This window comes from Homo sapiens, chromosome 13 (assembly GCF_000001405.40).
Source record: "Homo sapiens chromosome 13, GRCh38.p14 Primary Assembly".
Lineage (NCBI taxonomy): Eukaryota > Metazoa > Chordata > Mammalia > Primates > Hominidae > Homo > Homo sapiens.
The window spans coordinates 51,088,304-51,105,446 of NC_000013.11; the positions used below are offsets into that span (position 1 = coordinate 51,088,304).

General features: G+C 38.7%; 1 protein-coding gene across 4 annotated transcripts in view; it reads right to left on the reverse strand.

The window, feature by feature from the left end:
- Positions 1–17,143, reverse strand: part of C13orf42 (chromosome 13 open reading frame 42) — a 90,270-nt gene that overhangs the window by 6,185 nt on the left and 66,942 nt on the right. The window lies entirely within an intron of this gene.

Consider the following 17,143-nt stretch of genomic DNA (forward strand, 5'->3'; position numbering starts at 1 on the left):
ACAAGATCTACTTCTTTCTTCATCACAGATTTGCTGTCAGACATTAGGCAAAATAATGTCTTCTTTTAGCCTTGTTCCTTGCTGATAAACACCCAATTAGGAGATTGTACAGTTCCTTAAGTAGGTGGTGAGACGCTCACCACAGGAAAGAGATGATAGATCTCCAGATATGTTGAAAATGCTCTAACAGTTGTCAGTTTCTATAATAACTCAATTGTACATTTTTAAATAGCTGAAAGAGTATAATTGGATTTTTTGAAACACAAAGGATAAATGCTTGAGGGGATGGATACCATGTTTTCCATGATGTGATTATTTCACATTGCATGCCTGTCTCAAAACATCTCATGTACCCCATAAATATATACCTACTATGTACCCACAAAAATTAAAAATAAAAATTTTTTTAAATAAAGATGTTTTCAGTTTCTAAAGGAACCAAATTTACACTCAAATCGTGGAATAAATTAAAATTAGTATGGTTGTTTGAAAAGTACAAGGAATAATAAAATAGAGAGTTTCAAGAATCTATTCAGTAGCTTACGAGGTTCCGGGCTCTTTCCTGACTGTTCCCTTCATGATCTTCACAACAATCCCGTCATGAGTGACTGATACCATGGAAGTTCAAGATCCAAGATGGGTTTCAGTGGAGAACTCATGGTCTCTAGAACTGACCAAATCAATACGTGTACTAATAAAAAACTCTCTGAGGAATTTAGGAAATAAGAAGACTTGAGGAGAGGAAAAAAGGGACAGATGTGTTAACATGGGCATTTTGATTCAATGTAGAGTTATTTTATTTTATATGGGCGTTTTGAAAATAGGATGGTATTAAAAGTGAATATGATTTATAGACTGGTGTGTCAGGAAAGAAAACAGCATCTCTATGTGTACAAGATGTTTATTAAGTGTATGCATTTTGTACTACTAAGAAACATTTTTAAATAGGAGGATTTTCCTTTTATACTTGCAAAATATCAAAGGAAAGCTCTAAGAGCTTTCTTAGAGGAAGATGTTGAAGGACCACAATATACACCTTGATATGATTTGGCTCTGTGTCCCTACCCAAATCTCATTCTGAATTGTAATCCCCACATGTCGAGGGAGAGACCTGGTGGGAGGTGATTGGATCATGGGGGCGGTTTCCTCCTTGCTGTTCTCATGATAGTGAGTGAGTTCTCATGAGATCTGATGGTTTAAAAGTGTGGCACCTCCCCTTTGCTCGCCCTCTCTCTCCTGCTGCCTTGTGAAGAAGCTGCCTACTCTCCCTTCACCTTCCACCATGATTGTAAGTTTCCTGAGGCCTCCCCAGCCATGTGGAACTGTGAGTCAATTAAACCTCTTTTATTTACAAATTACCCAGTCTTGGGTAGGATCCTTATAGCAGTGTCTCCTGGTGCTTCTGCTCCATCACATTGGTCACCTCTCCACCTGCTTTCTGACTGGCAGAAGCTTTTGGAAATCTCTCTTCCACAGATGGCCTTTCTCTTTTAAAATGAAACTGAGGAGAGGAAAAGTAGAAACCTCGAGAACAAAGAGAACAAGAGAAAGGCCATCCATGGAAGAGAAATTTCCAAAAGCTTCTGCCAGTTGGAAAGCAGATGGAGAGGTGACCAATGTGATGGAGCAGGAGGACCAGGTCCCAGAACATCATGGGTGGGGTGGCAGCTGAGAAGAGGGACAATTCAACCTTCAGGAAGTGGAGACGCTCTAGACTGGGTGACACCAGGCACAATAAGGGCTGGGCATGGGATGAGACTAAAAAACCAGGAGGCTCAGTCTCTTAGTGCAGCAGGCCCAGCTGCCAGGCATCCTTCTTGAAGGCAGGTGACAGAAGGCTCACACCTGGAGGTAGGTCCACACTTGTTTATTCTCCCTGCATTTTCTCTTGCTGCTTCCTTTGCCTTGGATGTTCTCATTGGCTGACTCCGAATTCATCCATTGAATCTTGGCTGGAACTGCTCCTTCTCCAGGAAGGCTACCCCTCTCCTGGGCTAAGTTTCCATCCTCTAGGTTCCCATGGGTCTCATTACCTAACCTAAGTCTATGATGACAGATATCACTTTAGAGATTTTTGGTGAAGTGGAGGAGAGAGAAACAAAGAATGGACAAAGCCATTCTTTGGCTGACCCAGCCTGACCCCTGAGGAAGGATGGGTATTATTTAATAGTAATGCAAGGTCCATGGTGGTTTTGCACCTCAAAACCCACCTCCACATGGAGGGCACATCTCCAAGTCTTCAGAAGGCAACTGTCATCAGCGTTTAGCTTAATGCAAAGGTCTCAATCTTGTTTGTGTTCATCATATTATTTTTTATCTGGGTTACCCTATTATTTGATTTAAGTGATTCAGTCCTAAGTGTCTCTGGAGGGAGGGTTTGGCTAGCAGCTCAAAGCAGCCTCAGTCGGTTGCTGTTAATTGTTAAAGAGTTAGGAAAAGAGTCAATGTTGGTGTCTTAGCTATTAAAGGCTAAGAAAGCATCCGGCCATTGGCTAGCTTAACATGAATGTTGTCTTGTTGTGAATCTCCTGAATCTCCTCAAGTATTATCCTCTGAGGATAACATTTATAAACTAAAAAAAGAAAACATTAGCATAGAAATCACCACCTCAGCCACTGAACTCTCTGTCATCCAAGCTAGTGGACAATAGCCCTTTCAGCTGCACCTTTGCTAGAGGTGAGATTCCAAATATTCAAACATGTCGCCTATTTCCAAAATTTCAGCTTTAGGATTCAAGACTTGTGTCACTTTCCCACACCTTGCCATTTCTGCAAAGCTCAGCAGCAATTACCATCCCAGGATCACTCTGAAACACTGACAAGTGAGCTCCTTGGCTGACACTGAAGAGCCTGTTCTTCCAGGTCCCACTTCCCGGGCTCTGCTGGCCCAGTCAATACATGGTCATTATAAAACTCGTTATAAAAGATCGAAAGATCTTTTGGATCCTGCTGTGGCTGGGGAGTGAGTCAGTGGCGGCACACTGGTGACGTTATTTGTGGCTGACCCATATGTGCCTGTGTAACTAACTCTCATCACAAAAGAGGGCTTTCCTCCACTTGTCCAATTATCCTCATTAGTCCCCCCACTGCCTTGCCCTAAATCCTTCATGGGATAAGGCAGGGGCATAAACAAATGTAAGTGAATAAACAAATTGCTTTATTCTCCTACTTAGCCCTGCCTGCCTTCCCTGCCCCTTGACCCAGTCTGAGATCCCAGTCCTGAGAGTGATAATGCTATCCCCCATCAGTGTCAGGGTGACTCTGTAACAGTGGTACCTAATCCCAGTGGTTGTTAGACTCTCCTGGGGTGCTTTTAAAGAATATCTATGCTGCCCTTTTCCTAAACCAATTAATTTAGACAATTAAGTGATTCTAATACACAGTGGCTGAATCATCACTCTACAGGGACCCGAACATAGGGGAGACAGCAAAGGGGCCCACGATCTCCACCTCAATGACTGGTTTAGAGTGGAAAACCTCAAATCCTGGTTATACTCCCTGGGTTTGCAAGAGCAGACAGGAGTGTCTCCATGATGACAAGAACACAGGGGACATGACACAAGGGGACAGGATACAGGTCATTGAGGGACGAGAACAAAACTCTGGGTTAAGGGGCCCAGACTCCTCATGTCTTTGTGTCCTTCCTATGGCTTAGCACACAGAGAGGCCCAGGTAACGAGACTCCATCCATCCCCTGCTGCTCTCTCCTATTGGCCCAAAGTATGAGAACATCTCACCCACAGGGGCGCACTTTCCCATTCTGATCTCTTACTGTCCAGGGGACAAAACATCCTGGCATGCTCAGGAATCATCCCAGTTTATGCCTGTTATCCCAGTGGGATTATGCATAGTACCTCTTTTCACTCTCCAACGTGTCCCTAGTTGGGGGATAAATTACCTGTTCCTTTATCATATAAACCACAAGTTATGCCACCTCCCCCAAGTCTGTTACCACCTGCGATAAGCTGCATTTTATTATCAAGTTACTGTAAATATGCATAACATTTTCCTAAATTCTTCACTTTAATCCATGTTTTTGATCACCAATCTTTTGAATAGGATTTATTCATTTGAATTATTCATTTGTTTTCACCTAAATCTTATCCACAATATCTCATCTAAAATTTCCGGATTTGGTTTATTTAAAGTGATCTAGGCACCTGAGAAAAAAACTTGAGTGTAAAATCCTTCTAGTTCTTTATAATTTATAATTTTTTTCAAATCTGTCACATTTGCTTATTCCAAACCTCATTTTGTTGCTTTTTAAAAAGCAATTCTCTATTAGTGAATCTTTCTAAAACACTCAACTTAGTTTCCATAAAAGAAATTATATTTTATCATTCATATATTATCATATTTAATTAAAATACATGATTATAAATTATAAGAAGTCCAAATTATATAAACCAGTTTGGGAACAAATATAACTTAATTTTAATAAGCAAGTCATTCAACTTGTGAAGCTGAGAAGTACATAGGCATATCCTAGTTTTAAAAATGTTTTATTATAAAAAATTTTTCAATACAAAAACTATAGAAAATAGAACTATGAACCCCATATACTCATCATCAGCAACAACCATCACCTTTCTGCCATTTTTGTTCCTCTATCAACCTCTCACTTTTTTTTCTGAAAGCTAATCCTAAAAAAAGATAATTTTACTCATAAATACTTCAAAATGTATCTTTAACAGATAAGAGTTTTCAGCAACATTATCCACAATATTATTATACTCAACAAAACTGATAATTTCTTAATATCAGGAAGTACCTAGTTTATGTTCTATTTTTCTTGACTGACTCAAAAATGTCTTGTGCAAGTTGGTTTGTTCAAATTAGGATCCAAACAAGGTCCACATTTAGTTGCTACCTGTTTAAGTCTCTTTAATGATTTATGCAGGTGATTTAATTGAAGAATCTGCATCTCTTGTTCCATAGACTTTCTCACATTCTGGATTTGACTGACTCCTTCTTCTGGGTATTGGTTCACATTTCTCTCTTCCTCAAATTCCCTATAACTGGTCCTCAGATCTGGAGCAGGGCTGTCCAGTAGGACTTTCTGTAGTGCTGGGAATGTTCTACATCTGCACTGTCCAATATGGTAGCCACTAGCCATGTGAGTGGCTATTGAGTACTTGCAAAGTGGCTACCGTGATTGAGGAACTGAACTTTTAATTATTAAATTTAAATTTAAATAGCCATATGTGACTGGTGGCTACTGAATTGCAAAGTTCAGATTTAAAGGTTTAATTCAATTCAGATTTAATTTTTTAAATAATAAGGTTAGTGGTGCTGTGTATCACACACCAGGAGGCACACAGTGCATATTTTCCTGTTTCGTGCGATGTTGACATCGATTGGGGGTTTATGTGATGTTGGCTTGATCCATCTACTAGAAAATTTGCCATCTACCTTTTACTTAATGCTTTTAGCAATCATTGTCTAGATTCATTATTTTACTACTAGTTGCAAAATGTTGCTTTTCCAGTTCTTCAACCTTCCTGCATTTATTAACTGTGCTTTTGGTATGAATAACTTTCCCTCATCAACCACATAGTCTGTTTAGGAATGGCAGAATACTTGCTCTTTTTTTCCCATATAATAAATTGATACCCTAGAAAGTTTTCGAGGTAACCAATAAGGTTCACTTGCTTGTTTGTTTTGGGGGGGTATTATTTAAAATTCATGTATTTTTAACATATTTGATGTCTTGTCATCAGTTGTAATTATTCTTTTTGATGCTCACACTGTCCTGCATTTTGACAGCAAGAACTCTTTCATGGTGGATCCGGAGTCTCTTTGACACAATCCTGGTATCTTTGAGAACCTCTGAACTTTTAGACATAACAAATGCCCAATATTCATCTTGTACATTTTCTACTCCAGACCTGGATTCTGTTACTTCTCCAAAGAAAACTTAATTTTTAGTTGGAAGTGGCATTTAGACAGCACAATATACATGTTACGGATTTTATTGCTACAGGGTTGTCATTACTTCTAGGCCTTTTCAGTGCAATAAATGAGGAAATACTAATCTTTTAGAAATAAAAAAATCTTGAGTTCATACTGATATTTGCAACTCAAACTAAAACGGTGTGTTCACGGTTCCTCTTCCCACACTTTGTATTATTGCTACAATACATTTCACTTTTAATTATGTTGTAAACACACAATATATTGCTACCCTCTTTGCTTTAGACAATTAGTTACAATTTAGAGAATTTTAAAATGTTTTAAACCCACAAATTGTATTTTTACCTTTTCCCAGTCCTCCTCACCTCTTTGTGTGGATCTAAGTTTCTATCTGGTACCACATTTACTCTTCAAAAAGTATCCTTAATATTTATTGTACTACAGGTCTGCTGAAAGATGAATTCTCACAGTTTTTGCTTGTCTAACAAATACTTCTTTTGCTTTCATGTTTTAAAAGATATTTCCACTGAGTATAGAACTCTGTTGATAAGTATTATTTTTCTTTCTTTCAGCACTTTAAAGATACCACTTTTAATATGGTTTGGCTGTGTCCCCACCCAAATCTCATCTTGAATTGTAGCTCCCATAATTCCCATGTGTTATGGGAAGGACCCTGTGGGAGATAATGGAATCATGGGGGTGTGTCTTTCCCGTGCTGTTTTCATGATACTGAGTCTCTTGAGATCTGATGGTTTTATAAAGGGGAGTTCCCCTGCACATGCTCTCTTGCTTGCTGTCATGTAAGATGTGCCTTTGTTTCTCCTTTGCCTTCCACCATGATTGTGAGGCCTCCCCAGCCATGTGGAACTGTGAGTCCATTAAACCTCTTTCTTTTATAAATTACCCAGTCTTAGGTATGTCTTCATTAGCAGTGTGAGAACAGACTAATACAACTCCATTGTTTCCTGGCTTGCATCATCTCTGATGAGAAATTTATTGTAATTTTTATCTTAGTTATGCTGTGTAATGAGTCATTTTTCTCTTTGTCCTTTTAGCAATTTTATTATGATATATGTAGGTTTTATCACTGTTGTTGCTGTTGTTGTTATTGATCCTGCTTGGTTTTTCTTAACTTCTTAGATCTGTGGTTTAGTATATGTCATTAATTTGGGGGAAAATCTCAGCCATTGTTCCCTCAAATATTTCTCATACCCCCCTCTCTATTTCTTCTTCTCTGGGATTCCAGCTATACTTATATTAGACCCCTTGATGTTGTCCCATAGTTCTTGGATGCTCTGTTTTTTATTTATTTACTTATTTGGTTTTTTTTTTAACTATATCTTCTTTTTGTGTTAGTTTTGGTCATCTCTTTGGACCCATCTTCAAGTCTGCTGATTTTTTCCACAGCTGTATCAAGTCTACTGATGAGCCCAGCAAAGGCATTCTTCATCTCTGTTCTGTGCTGCTCATTTCCGGTCTTTTCATTTGGTTCTTTCTTATGGTTTCCATCTTTCTGCTGGAATTATCCATCTGATCTTGTGTGTTTTCCACCTGTTCCGTTAGGGCTTTTAACATATTAATTATAATTTTTTAAAATTTTCCTGTCTGATAGTTCCAATGTTCGTGTCATATCTGAGTCTGGTTCTATCAGTTGCTTTGTTGCTTGGTACTGCATTGTTCTTTTCTTGCTTTTTCACATAATTCATAATTTTTTTGTTGAAAGCCAGGCATTTTATGTAGGTCAGTAGACACTGAGGTTTTTATGCCTGCAAATGGTCTTTCCTTTGGCTAGGCCTTTAGTTTGGTTTTGAGTCAATCTAGATAAGATTTTAGCTGGGACTGGGACTGTTGTTGCTATGGTTACTCGAAATACATCACAGATTTTAAATCTCTCTAGAAATACCTTGTGTTTAAAGTACAGGCTAATTTTCCAGAGAGTTTGTCCTCAATGTCTGCTGCATCCTCAGCTTTAGGTCTTTCCTTTCTGCTTTCCTAAAGAGAGGGTTTCCCTCCTCACTTTTGCCCCTCTGTTAGCAGTATTCCACTGTCAGTTTCTACCTGATGCTTGTTAGGATGGTGGTGAGAGACAAGAGGGCATTCACTGTTTTCTGATAAAGCCCCAGTCTCAGGCAGGCGCTGTGTCCCTGGGGATGTGGCCTTCTCCATGGCCTTGTAAGGTTGAGAGTGACATTCTTTCCTGCTCTCCACATCCTGAGCAGAAACTGACAGTCTCTCTAATTCAAATTGAATAGTAGAGGTTTCACACTTAACTTCTTTAGTTCATATTTGTATCTCTATTAAACTGAATATCTTGGTTCCATGCAACATTAACAAGATTATTTATTTATTTTACCCTACTATATACAATCATTTCAAAATAGTAACTTCAACATTCCAATAGTAAGCCCACTGAATGCAGTTTAAGATGTGTGTGTACATCTGCGTGTGTGTTTTGTCCTTGGACTGTATAAACCAAAATTCTGTTTTAAAGTCTCTTGAAATAATGCTTTTCTGTGTGATTATGCCTTTGACTTCGTAATTTGTTAGATTCCTATGCTTCAGTTGAGTTTCATGTTTAAGGATTGCTTTTTTCTTTTTGCTTTAATATTTTAAAACTATGTAAATAATATGCATGGCTCCAAAACCAAAACTATAACAAACATTCAAGAGAGGGCTTGCTTTCATGTCAGTCCCTTCTCCTCATTTCCTCTATCTTTGCTTTAGTATTTTGTTTATCTTTCTATCATTTCTTCGAAAATACAAGCAAGCATATTTGTATTTACTGCTTTTTAAAAAAACAAAAAGGAGCATACCATGTACACCTGTGAGTACTGCTTTCTTCACTCAACGTATCCTGAGGATCACTCTATAGCAGTAAATAGAGATCCTCCTCATCCCTTTTAATAGCTGTTCTCCATTGTACAGACATGCATAGATGCAAACAACAATCCCTTATTGATAGATCTTTGGGTAGTTTGCAATCTTTTGCTATTAGTGCAGCAATGAAAAGTCTTGTCATATGTCATTTTGTATTTTGCCTGTAATACTATAGTTAGAGATAGGCTTCCATTTATAAATACCCAGCTTGTTCTGGGTGTCTTAATGAGGGAATGGTGAGCATCAAGTAATCTGGCAAGTTAGTTAAGTAGGGTTTGGTTAATAGAGCTTCTATTGTCCTTTTATAAATTATACTTTTAAAGGTCACCAAATGGATTCTATGATGATTTTCTAAGTACCAAGTCTAAACTACCAGTCAGGGGCTGAGCCTTTTCTATTTCTGGATTGAACTCATGCTGAGCTCAGCTTTTTCTGCCTTCTCACACTTTCCATGGGGCTTTCTAACCTACACTATGACATTCCCGCAGAGATTCCTTCAGGGCTCAGGCTATTGTCACAGGAAAATCTACTTTACAAAGAGGTGGTTGTGCAAAATGAGATTTCAGTCATCAATACCCCTAGGTGAAACCCAAAAGTCTTCCCTCCCTGAACTCACAACTCCAAGCAAAAGTGGATTGCTTCCCTCCCAATCTTGATTTTTTTTTTTTTCCTAGCCCAGACCTTTTGGTCTTTGGAAATGCCAAATGTAATGCAGGCTGTTTCCTGCTGCAGCCTTCCCGGCTGAGTTTCACAGGGTCCATGTCCCTTTGCCATCAGCCCTGAAGTAGCCCAGGGAGACAAAGCTTTCTCTAAGAGAATCTGTATCTTATTGCCAGCTCCACTCCAGTTTGCCTTTCACATTTAACCCTCCATGGCCTTAGGGTTATCATTTTCCGAGTCTTCCCTGCTCCATCTCCCTACCCTAGGCCTGAGCCTCGGATTACTTTTCTCAGATGGAATCCTTTGCACTTTCCAAACAAAACTCCTTTGTGTTTCTCATTTCAATTTCCAATTCCTTGAGGGCAGTTTCTAATTTTATATTATTTATCTTTTTTTTCATTTCATATCAGTTTGCCATCCTGCTTGGCTTCACCACCCTCCGGGTACCTGAGATGCTCCCTTCCCCAGTCTGTTCATTTTCTTCTGGGCTCTGTCAGTATTTTTCTGCAAGAGATCTAAATTCTACAAAATAAACTTCCCGTTGTAAACAGCAACATTGTGTCAGAAAGGAGAACCCAGCCAATGCCAAGGAGACCACTGCTAAGCATCCAGCCCCCTCTCACCTCTTCTACTTGGCAATTCCCCTCATCTCCTCAGAGGGTCAACTCATGTGTCATCTCCTCTCTGAAGCTTTCACCAATTGCCGCAGACAGACCCAGGCACATCTTTTCTATGCTCATTTTCTATCTCATTGGATACATCCACATCGCACACTGTATTAATTCATACTGGACCAATGATCCTCAACCTCTTCTGTGAGATGACTTTGGCAAATAACACTCACAAATATGACATACCCCTACTGATAAATGCACACTGCCAGCTGCTGCATACATGAGACAGGTTGTAGGATATTCACAACTCCCAATGTTCTGCTTGTAATTCCACCTGTTTCTCATCCAAGGCACCTCAACACACCAGTGTGGTTCAAACAATGACACTGAGAGTTGCTGCCTCAAGCTATGGGCTGCATTAGGGCAAATATATTGTCTTTATGTATGAACATCGAGCATCTATTTCAGTACTTTGGGACTTAATTTGGCAAATTTTAGGAACTCCACTTTCGATTTCTGTGAGGTACTAATAATACTTTCTTGGGATAATCATACCTAGGTATCTGAATGTCAATATTGGTGATGAAATTTCCAGGGTAAAACGTGGAATTGGTCCTGATTGAGAAGGTCATTTTATACTTGGATCATTCAACTGGGTGAAATTAAATGCAAAACAAGCCAAATTTACCCACAAGCAATTTAATATTACCAAATAAGGTTTTTCTGGTTTTAAACCTTAAAAGTTTCATCTAGTGCCTCTTTTTTGCCTTTTGCTATCCTTGGGATGGAGGTACAGGACCAAGGCAAAAGTGATACTTATCTATTTCTTTTATATTACAGCACCCAAGGAAATGTATGCTCATAATTGAACAGGGTTTTATGGAAAAAGAATGGGAGTTTATGAAACAAGAACTGTAGACTAGGAAGAAAAAAACTTAGAAAAAAGTATCATCACTGAAATTTAAATACATAGGCACACATAGCCACATACAAATTTTCAATAGATGAGCTAAATAGTCAACTTGCCAGGGCTGAAGAAAAAAATCAGTGAAATAGACAACTGAGCTGAGAAAATTATCACAAAGAGATAAAAATAAGAAGTTTGTCAGAAACTCTAGTATAACTAAACCATGGTATTATCTATTATAACTAAATATTAAAATAGTTTTGGGAGAACAGCTGCATATCTTTTGTTTCTGGTAACAGGTTGTAGACTCACTGGATCCAACTAACAGTTTTAGGCTTACTTTTTCCCCAGCTTTATAATGTTTGTTTTTGTTTGTTTAGAGGCAGAATATCTCTCTGTCACTCAGGCTGGAGTGCAGTGCCGTGACCATCGTTCACAGTGGCCTCGAACTCCTGGCCTCAAGCAATCCTCCTACCTCAGTTTTCCAAAGTGCTGGGATTATAGGGATGAGCCACCTCACCTGGCCCAGCTTTATAATCTTAAAGCCATTACTTATTTTGTTAGCCCCTTGTAACTCCTGGCCTTATATGTCATGTAAATGATCATTTGGCTTTAACAAAACACTAAGTTAATAAAATGTTGCTCATATATATCAAACTGTTAGAAGCCTAACTGATAGAACTGAATTAACAGACTTAAAGCATAGTGTAAAATCTTCACATACAGTAAGTGAAATGTCACAATCCACTAAGAGAAGGAATGTACACTTTTATATACATGCCAGTTGTCAATAAATAGTGTTGGAAAACTTTGCTATTCGGGAAAATTCAAGTTGTGTTCTCAGTTCCTACTACATATCCAAATAAATTGCTGATAGACAAAGGGATTGGTTTTTTTTAAAAAAAAAGAAAAACGGAACTATTAAAAAAAGGATAATATGGCAAATATGCAATTGACCTTGGAACATGGAAGGACTTTCTAAGCATGAAAGCAACGGAAGAAATTACAGACAAAAATTGAAGACACAAAAATAAGTAGTATCTGCACATCAGAAAACGTCAAATAAATGAAAAGAGGTATAATAACTTGGAGAAAATATTTTAACATATATGGAAGACAATGCGCTAATATCCTCAAAAATCCCTGTAAGTAACAAAATATAAGAAGAAGTGTCCCTATAAATAAATAACAAAACTTTAATACAGCCAAAAGAAAATGTATGAAGACATGAATGAACAATCCACTAAATAAGAAGTATGCATTTTTATGACGATAAAAAAGGTCATTCTTCAATGACCCTTTGCAAAGGTCATTATGCAAGCAATAATAAAAGTACCTTAAGATACTGCAATTTATCTATCAAATTGGCAAACTTTTAAAATTAATGACAGTACTTGATGCTGATAAAATGCAAATAGAAGAGCTTATTAGAAACCCACTGTCGATGAAAAGCATAAATTGGTAAAATGTTTCTGGAAAGTAATACGTAAAAGAATCCCTAAAAAATAATGACCTTTGGCCTTCAACCCATTAATCACACTTTAGGAATCTCTGCTAAAAAATGCCTTACAGACATAGAGTAAAATGTGTTTATTTATAACGTTTAGCAATTGTTTGTAGAAGGTGAGTTGTTAAATTTGCCTTTTAAGCTTTTGTTTTCAAAAAGTAGTTAATGAGATGGAAAAGAACTCACAATATATAACATTAACTGAGAAAAGAATACAAAGATGTATATATGGTATGAACCAAATTTAGTACATTTATACATATATGGACATGAGGTTTGCCAGGTTTAACAAATTAAAATAAAGCATGGCAGTTGAAGACTAATTTCAGATAAACAATGAATAATTTTTCATATAAATACATGCCAAATATTACATGGGACATCCTTATACTAAAAAATTCTAATTTTTGCTAGGCATTCTTCATTTTATCTTACAACCCCAATGCACATATGTGCAAATACACAGGAAAATATGACTAAAAGAAAATATACCTAAAAATTATACAGTGAGTACCTCTATCTAGATGGTAGGATTCTAAGATATTTTTATTTTCTTCCCTATACTTTTCTGTGTGTTATGAATTTCATCTTATAAGCAAATATAACTTTATTATCAGAAAAAAATGTATAGCGTGTGTTTTTGATGGTGGGCTCTAATCAATTACATAATGGCTATTTTAATTATTAGGATATGATTCCACATGAATATACGCAAACCATATTCTATTCCACTAAAAAAAAGAAAAGGCATCAAAACCACACACCTATGACTTTTCCAGATCTTCCATCAAAGTTTATAACAGTTTTCTTCTTAAATTACAATTGGAGTTTCTCAGGTAATTGGTTTACTGAGCATCTACCATGTGCCTAAAACCGTGCTAAAGGTCGGAGTTAAAAAGATAAATAAGATATAATGCCTCTGCTCAATGAGCTCACAGTTAGTGGCATAGATAAGCAAAAGAACAGACAATTACAGTGTGCTGAGTGCTAAAACAAGGCTCAGACGCAGGGAGGAGGGAAATCCACTGTGTGGAATTGTGGATGTGAGAAAAGGCTTCCCAGGAAGTGCTGTCTCTGCTGTCTCAAAGGACAAGAAGTTAGCCAGGTGAACAAGGTGGTGTGGGGGAGAGAAAAAAGGGAGGAGGAAGTATTGTTTCTAGGCAGAGCAAACAGCTTGTGCTCAGAGGATAGATTAGGAATATAATTACACATCTTGCAGCTTGACTGAGAGGGACTGCAGGAATCATATGCACAGTTATCAATCATTATTATACTGTCTGCCATCTTGCGGAGAACTCTGCCAAGCATAATAGGAAATTTTTTGCAGTTCATATTGAATTTTTACTGCCTTTCAACTATGTAAACCAGACACTGGCCAAGTGATACAGACAGCTCCCCAGCCCCCGCCAGTAACTGATGCTCACAGAAAACCTGCATTTTAATATCACTGTGTTTGCAGAAATTCTCAACAGATCTGAAAAATAATTATCAATGGTGTAAAACAGATCAAGAACCTGCTTCCTATCCCATATGCAATTAATATACAGACAATTTGGAGTCTTTTTAGATGAATTGGATTCAGACCCTCCTGCCATAGAGGAGAAAGAGCCTCTACAGGCTGTTGATATGGTCTCATTTTATGAACCAAGGCTGAGTGGCCTTAATAGAAAATTATTCTGAAAGCTAACTATTTTCAGAATAAAACTATTTTCACTAAAAATCAATCACTTTTGACAGGTATTCTTCGGAATTCAATGGGTTCTTTTTAAACCATTCTTGTAACAGGTGACTTTCATTAGATGAGGATCAGGGAGGGGTGTATATTTTGCAACTAGTTCATTCAGGCAGACATATCAGAAATCCAAGCTACTCAGGGATCCATGAGAGAATTAATGAGGTTTCCTCTGACTGTGGTGAGTGACCAGTATATTAGTCCATGTTCACACTGCTATTAAAGAAATACCTGAGACTGGGTAATTTATCAAGGAAAGAGATTAATTGACTCACAGTTCCACATGGCTGGGGAAGCCTCAGGAAACTTACAATCATGGTAGAAGATGAAGGAGAAGCAAGTACCTTCTTCATACGGTGTCAGGAAAGAGAAGAGCAAGCGAGAGAGGAAGTGCCACACCTTTAAAACAACCTGATCCCATGAGAACTCCCTCCCTATCATGACAGCATGGGGTAAACCGCCCCCATAATCCAATCACCTCCCTCCCTTGACACGTGGGGATTACAATTTGAGATGAGATTTGGGTGGAGACACCTAGTCAAGTCATATCAACAAGTAACCCCGCCTGAGAAAATGTCCAATGTGAACCATCTGGACTGTGTGGGAGCCATGGGGTTCCATAGGGTTCTGCTGCCAACCCCAAAGCAGCAGCCTGGCTCTGTCGCCAGCCTCCCAAGCCTCTTCTCTGTGATCTAGTCAGGCTTGGGTCCACTTAGATGACCCATTTCTCAAAGTGGCCTGTGGTTGTTGCTGTTTCTCTGGCCCTAAAAGTGTGGGGAGCTGTCCTCAGGGAGGACCCCAAATGCCAGCAAGCACTCTAGTCAGATGCAGAGCACAGGCTTCAACTTTTCCTCTTCACCTCCCATTGAAACCAAGACTGATCAGTCATAGAAAGAAAGGAAGTTCTGGGCCAGGCGCAGTGGCTCACACCTGTAATCCCAGCACTTTGGGAGGCCGAGGCGGGTGGATCATGAGGCCAGGAGTTTGAGACCAGCCTGGCCAACATAGTGAAACCCCGTCTCTACTAAAAATACAAAAATTAGCCAGGTGTGGTGGTGAGCGCCTGTAGTCCCAGCTATTCAGGAGGCTGAAGCAGGAGAATCACTTGAACCCGGGAGGCAGAGGTTGCAGCAAGCCAAGATCGCGCCACTGCATACCAGCGCGGGCCACAGTGCAAGACTCTGTCTCAAAAAAAAGAAAGAAAGGAAGCTCTGACACAAGCAACAACCCAGACAAGCCTTGAAGACGTTGTGCTAAGTGCCATAAGCCAGACACAGAAGAATGAATATGATTCCACTTATGTCAGGTACTAAAATGGGCAAATTCACAGAGACAGAAAGTAGAACAGAGACTACCATGGACTGGGGAAAGGGGGAAATGAGGAGTTCGTGTTCGATGGGTGCAGTTTCTGTTTGGAATGAAAAAGTTGTGGAGATGGATGGTAGTGATCACTACACAACATTGTGAATGTACTTAATGCCACTGCATTGTACGCTTTAAAATAGTTAAAATGGTAATATTAAAATATTTTACTTTAAAAGACTGTTTCATATTTAAAGAAATAATTGTCAAACCTTTTATAAAAACATTCTCCTGATTTCTAAATGAGGTACTTTGAGAGGGTCCACGATCTTTTAAGGAATTCGTATTCTAGGGTACTACTAACAATACTTTAATAAAGTGTCCTAAAAATACATTAATTAGGGCTTAATAATCCTTTGGATGAATTATTATACACTTATATAAATGATAATTTGGAAAAGCTCATGGGAGACTAGTGTGAAAGACCCTGGTTATTATCTGGCTATTAACATTTTGAAGGATATCTAGTAGTATGCACTTTTACTTTTAAAAAAATTGATACAAAGTCATTCAAAGAAAAGCATTTAGTACATGGAGCGTGGTGGCTCACACCCGTAATCCCAGCACTCTGGGAGGCTGAGGTGGGCAGATTGCCTGAGTCCAGGAGTTTGAGAAAAGTATTTAATTTCTTAAGAATTTGTTAACTGTAATAGACTTCATTACCCATAATCTGAAGACACTAAAAGGCACTCATTTCAGGAACCATGAAGTGCTGTGTGAAAATGGTAAAAGTTATGTTACATTTATTGTACCACACTAAAATAAAGCTTAAATTCGTAATGAAAATGTTTCCAAATTAGATGGTGGTGAAGATTACACAATACTGAATCGACTAAAAACCACTGACTTGTACACTGTGAAAGAGTGAGTTTTATGTATGTGAATTAAAGCTATTATATTAAAAAAAAAAAAAAAGCCAAGCTAAGAAAAGTGATGTTTATGAGTAGGTGAGAAAAGAGAGAAGTAAAATAACCCAAGGGCTCGTCATAGCAGGAGAAGGCTGCAGCTTGAAGAAATTAACAGGAACAAGCAAATGAGACAGGCACACACAGAGGCTGATGCCAGTCACATCCCATACGTGACCCTGGAACAAACTCCACAGGGAGCAATCGGCTGTCTAACATGCTAGGATGCAGGGTGGAGTGGAAATAGCAAAAAACACAGCAGGACAACTTGTTACTTTTCACAGACATTTTTCTCTCCTGGGGTGAACCAATTCTTCGGAGGATTTTGACAAAGGCCATTGGGAAGGGTGTGTGATGTATCCATACCTCTGGCATTTGAATTCTTCCCTGGGCTCAGAAGGGGCTGGCAGAAGCTACTGAGCTCAGCTAAGCTGCCAATCCATAGTCTCTCACTAAGATGCAGTTCAGGACCACACCCTGTGTGGTTACAGCTGGGGCTCTGAGAAATCACCATAGGAATTCTGGTCTTGCTCTCTCGCAAGACCGACTACCCCCATGAGGACAAGGACTTTGTCTTCTTCACCAGCATCTAGAACAGCTCCTGACACATAGTATGTGCTCAATCGATATGTGTTAAGGGACAAGTGAGTGATATATTAATAAACTG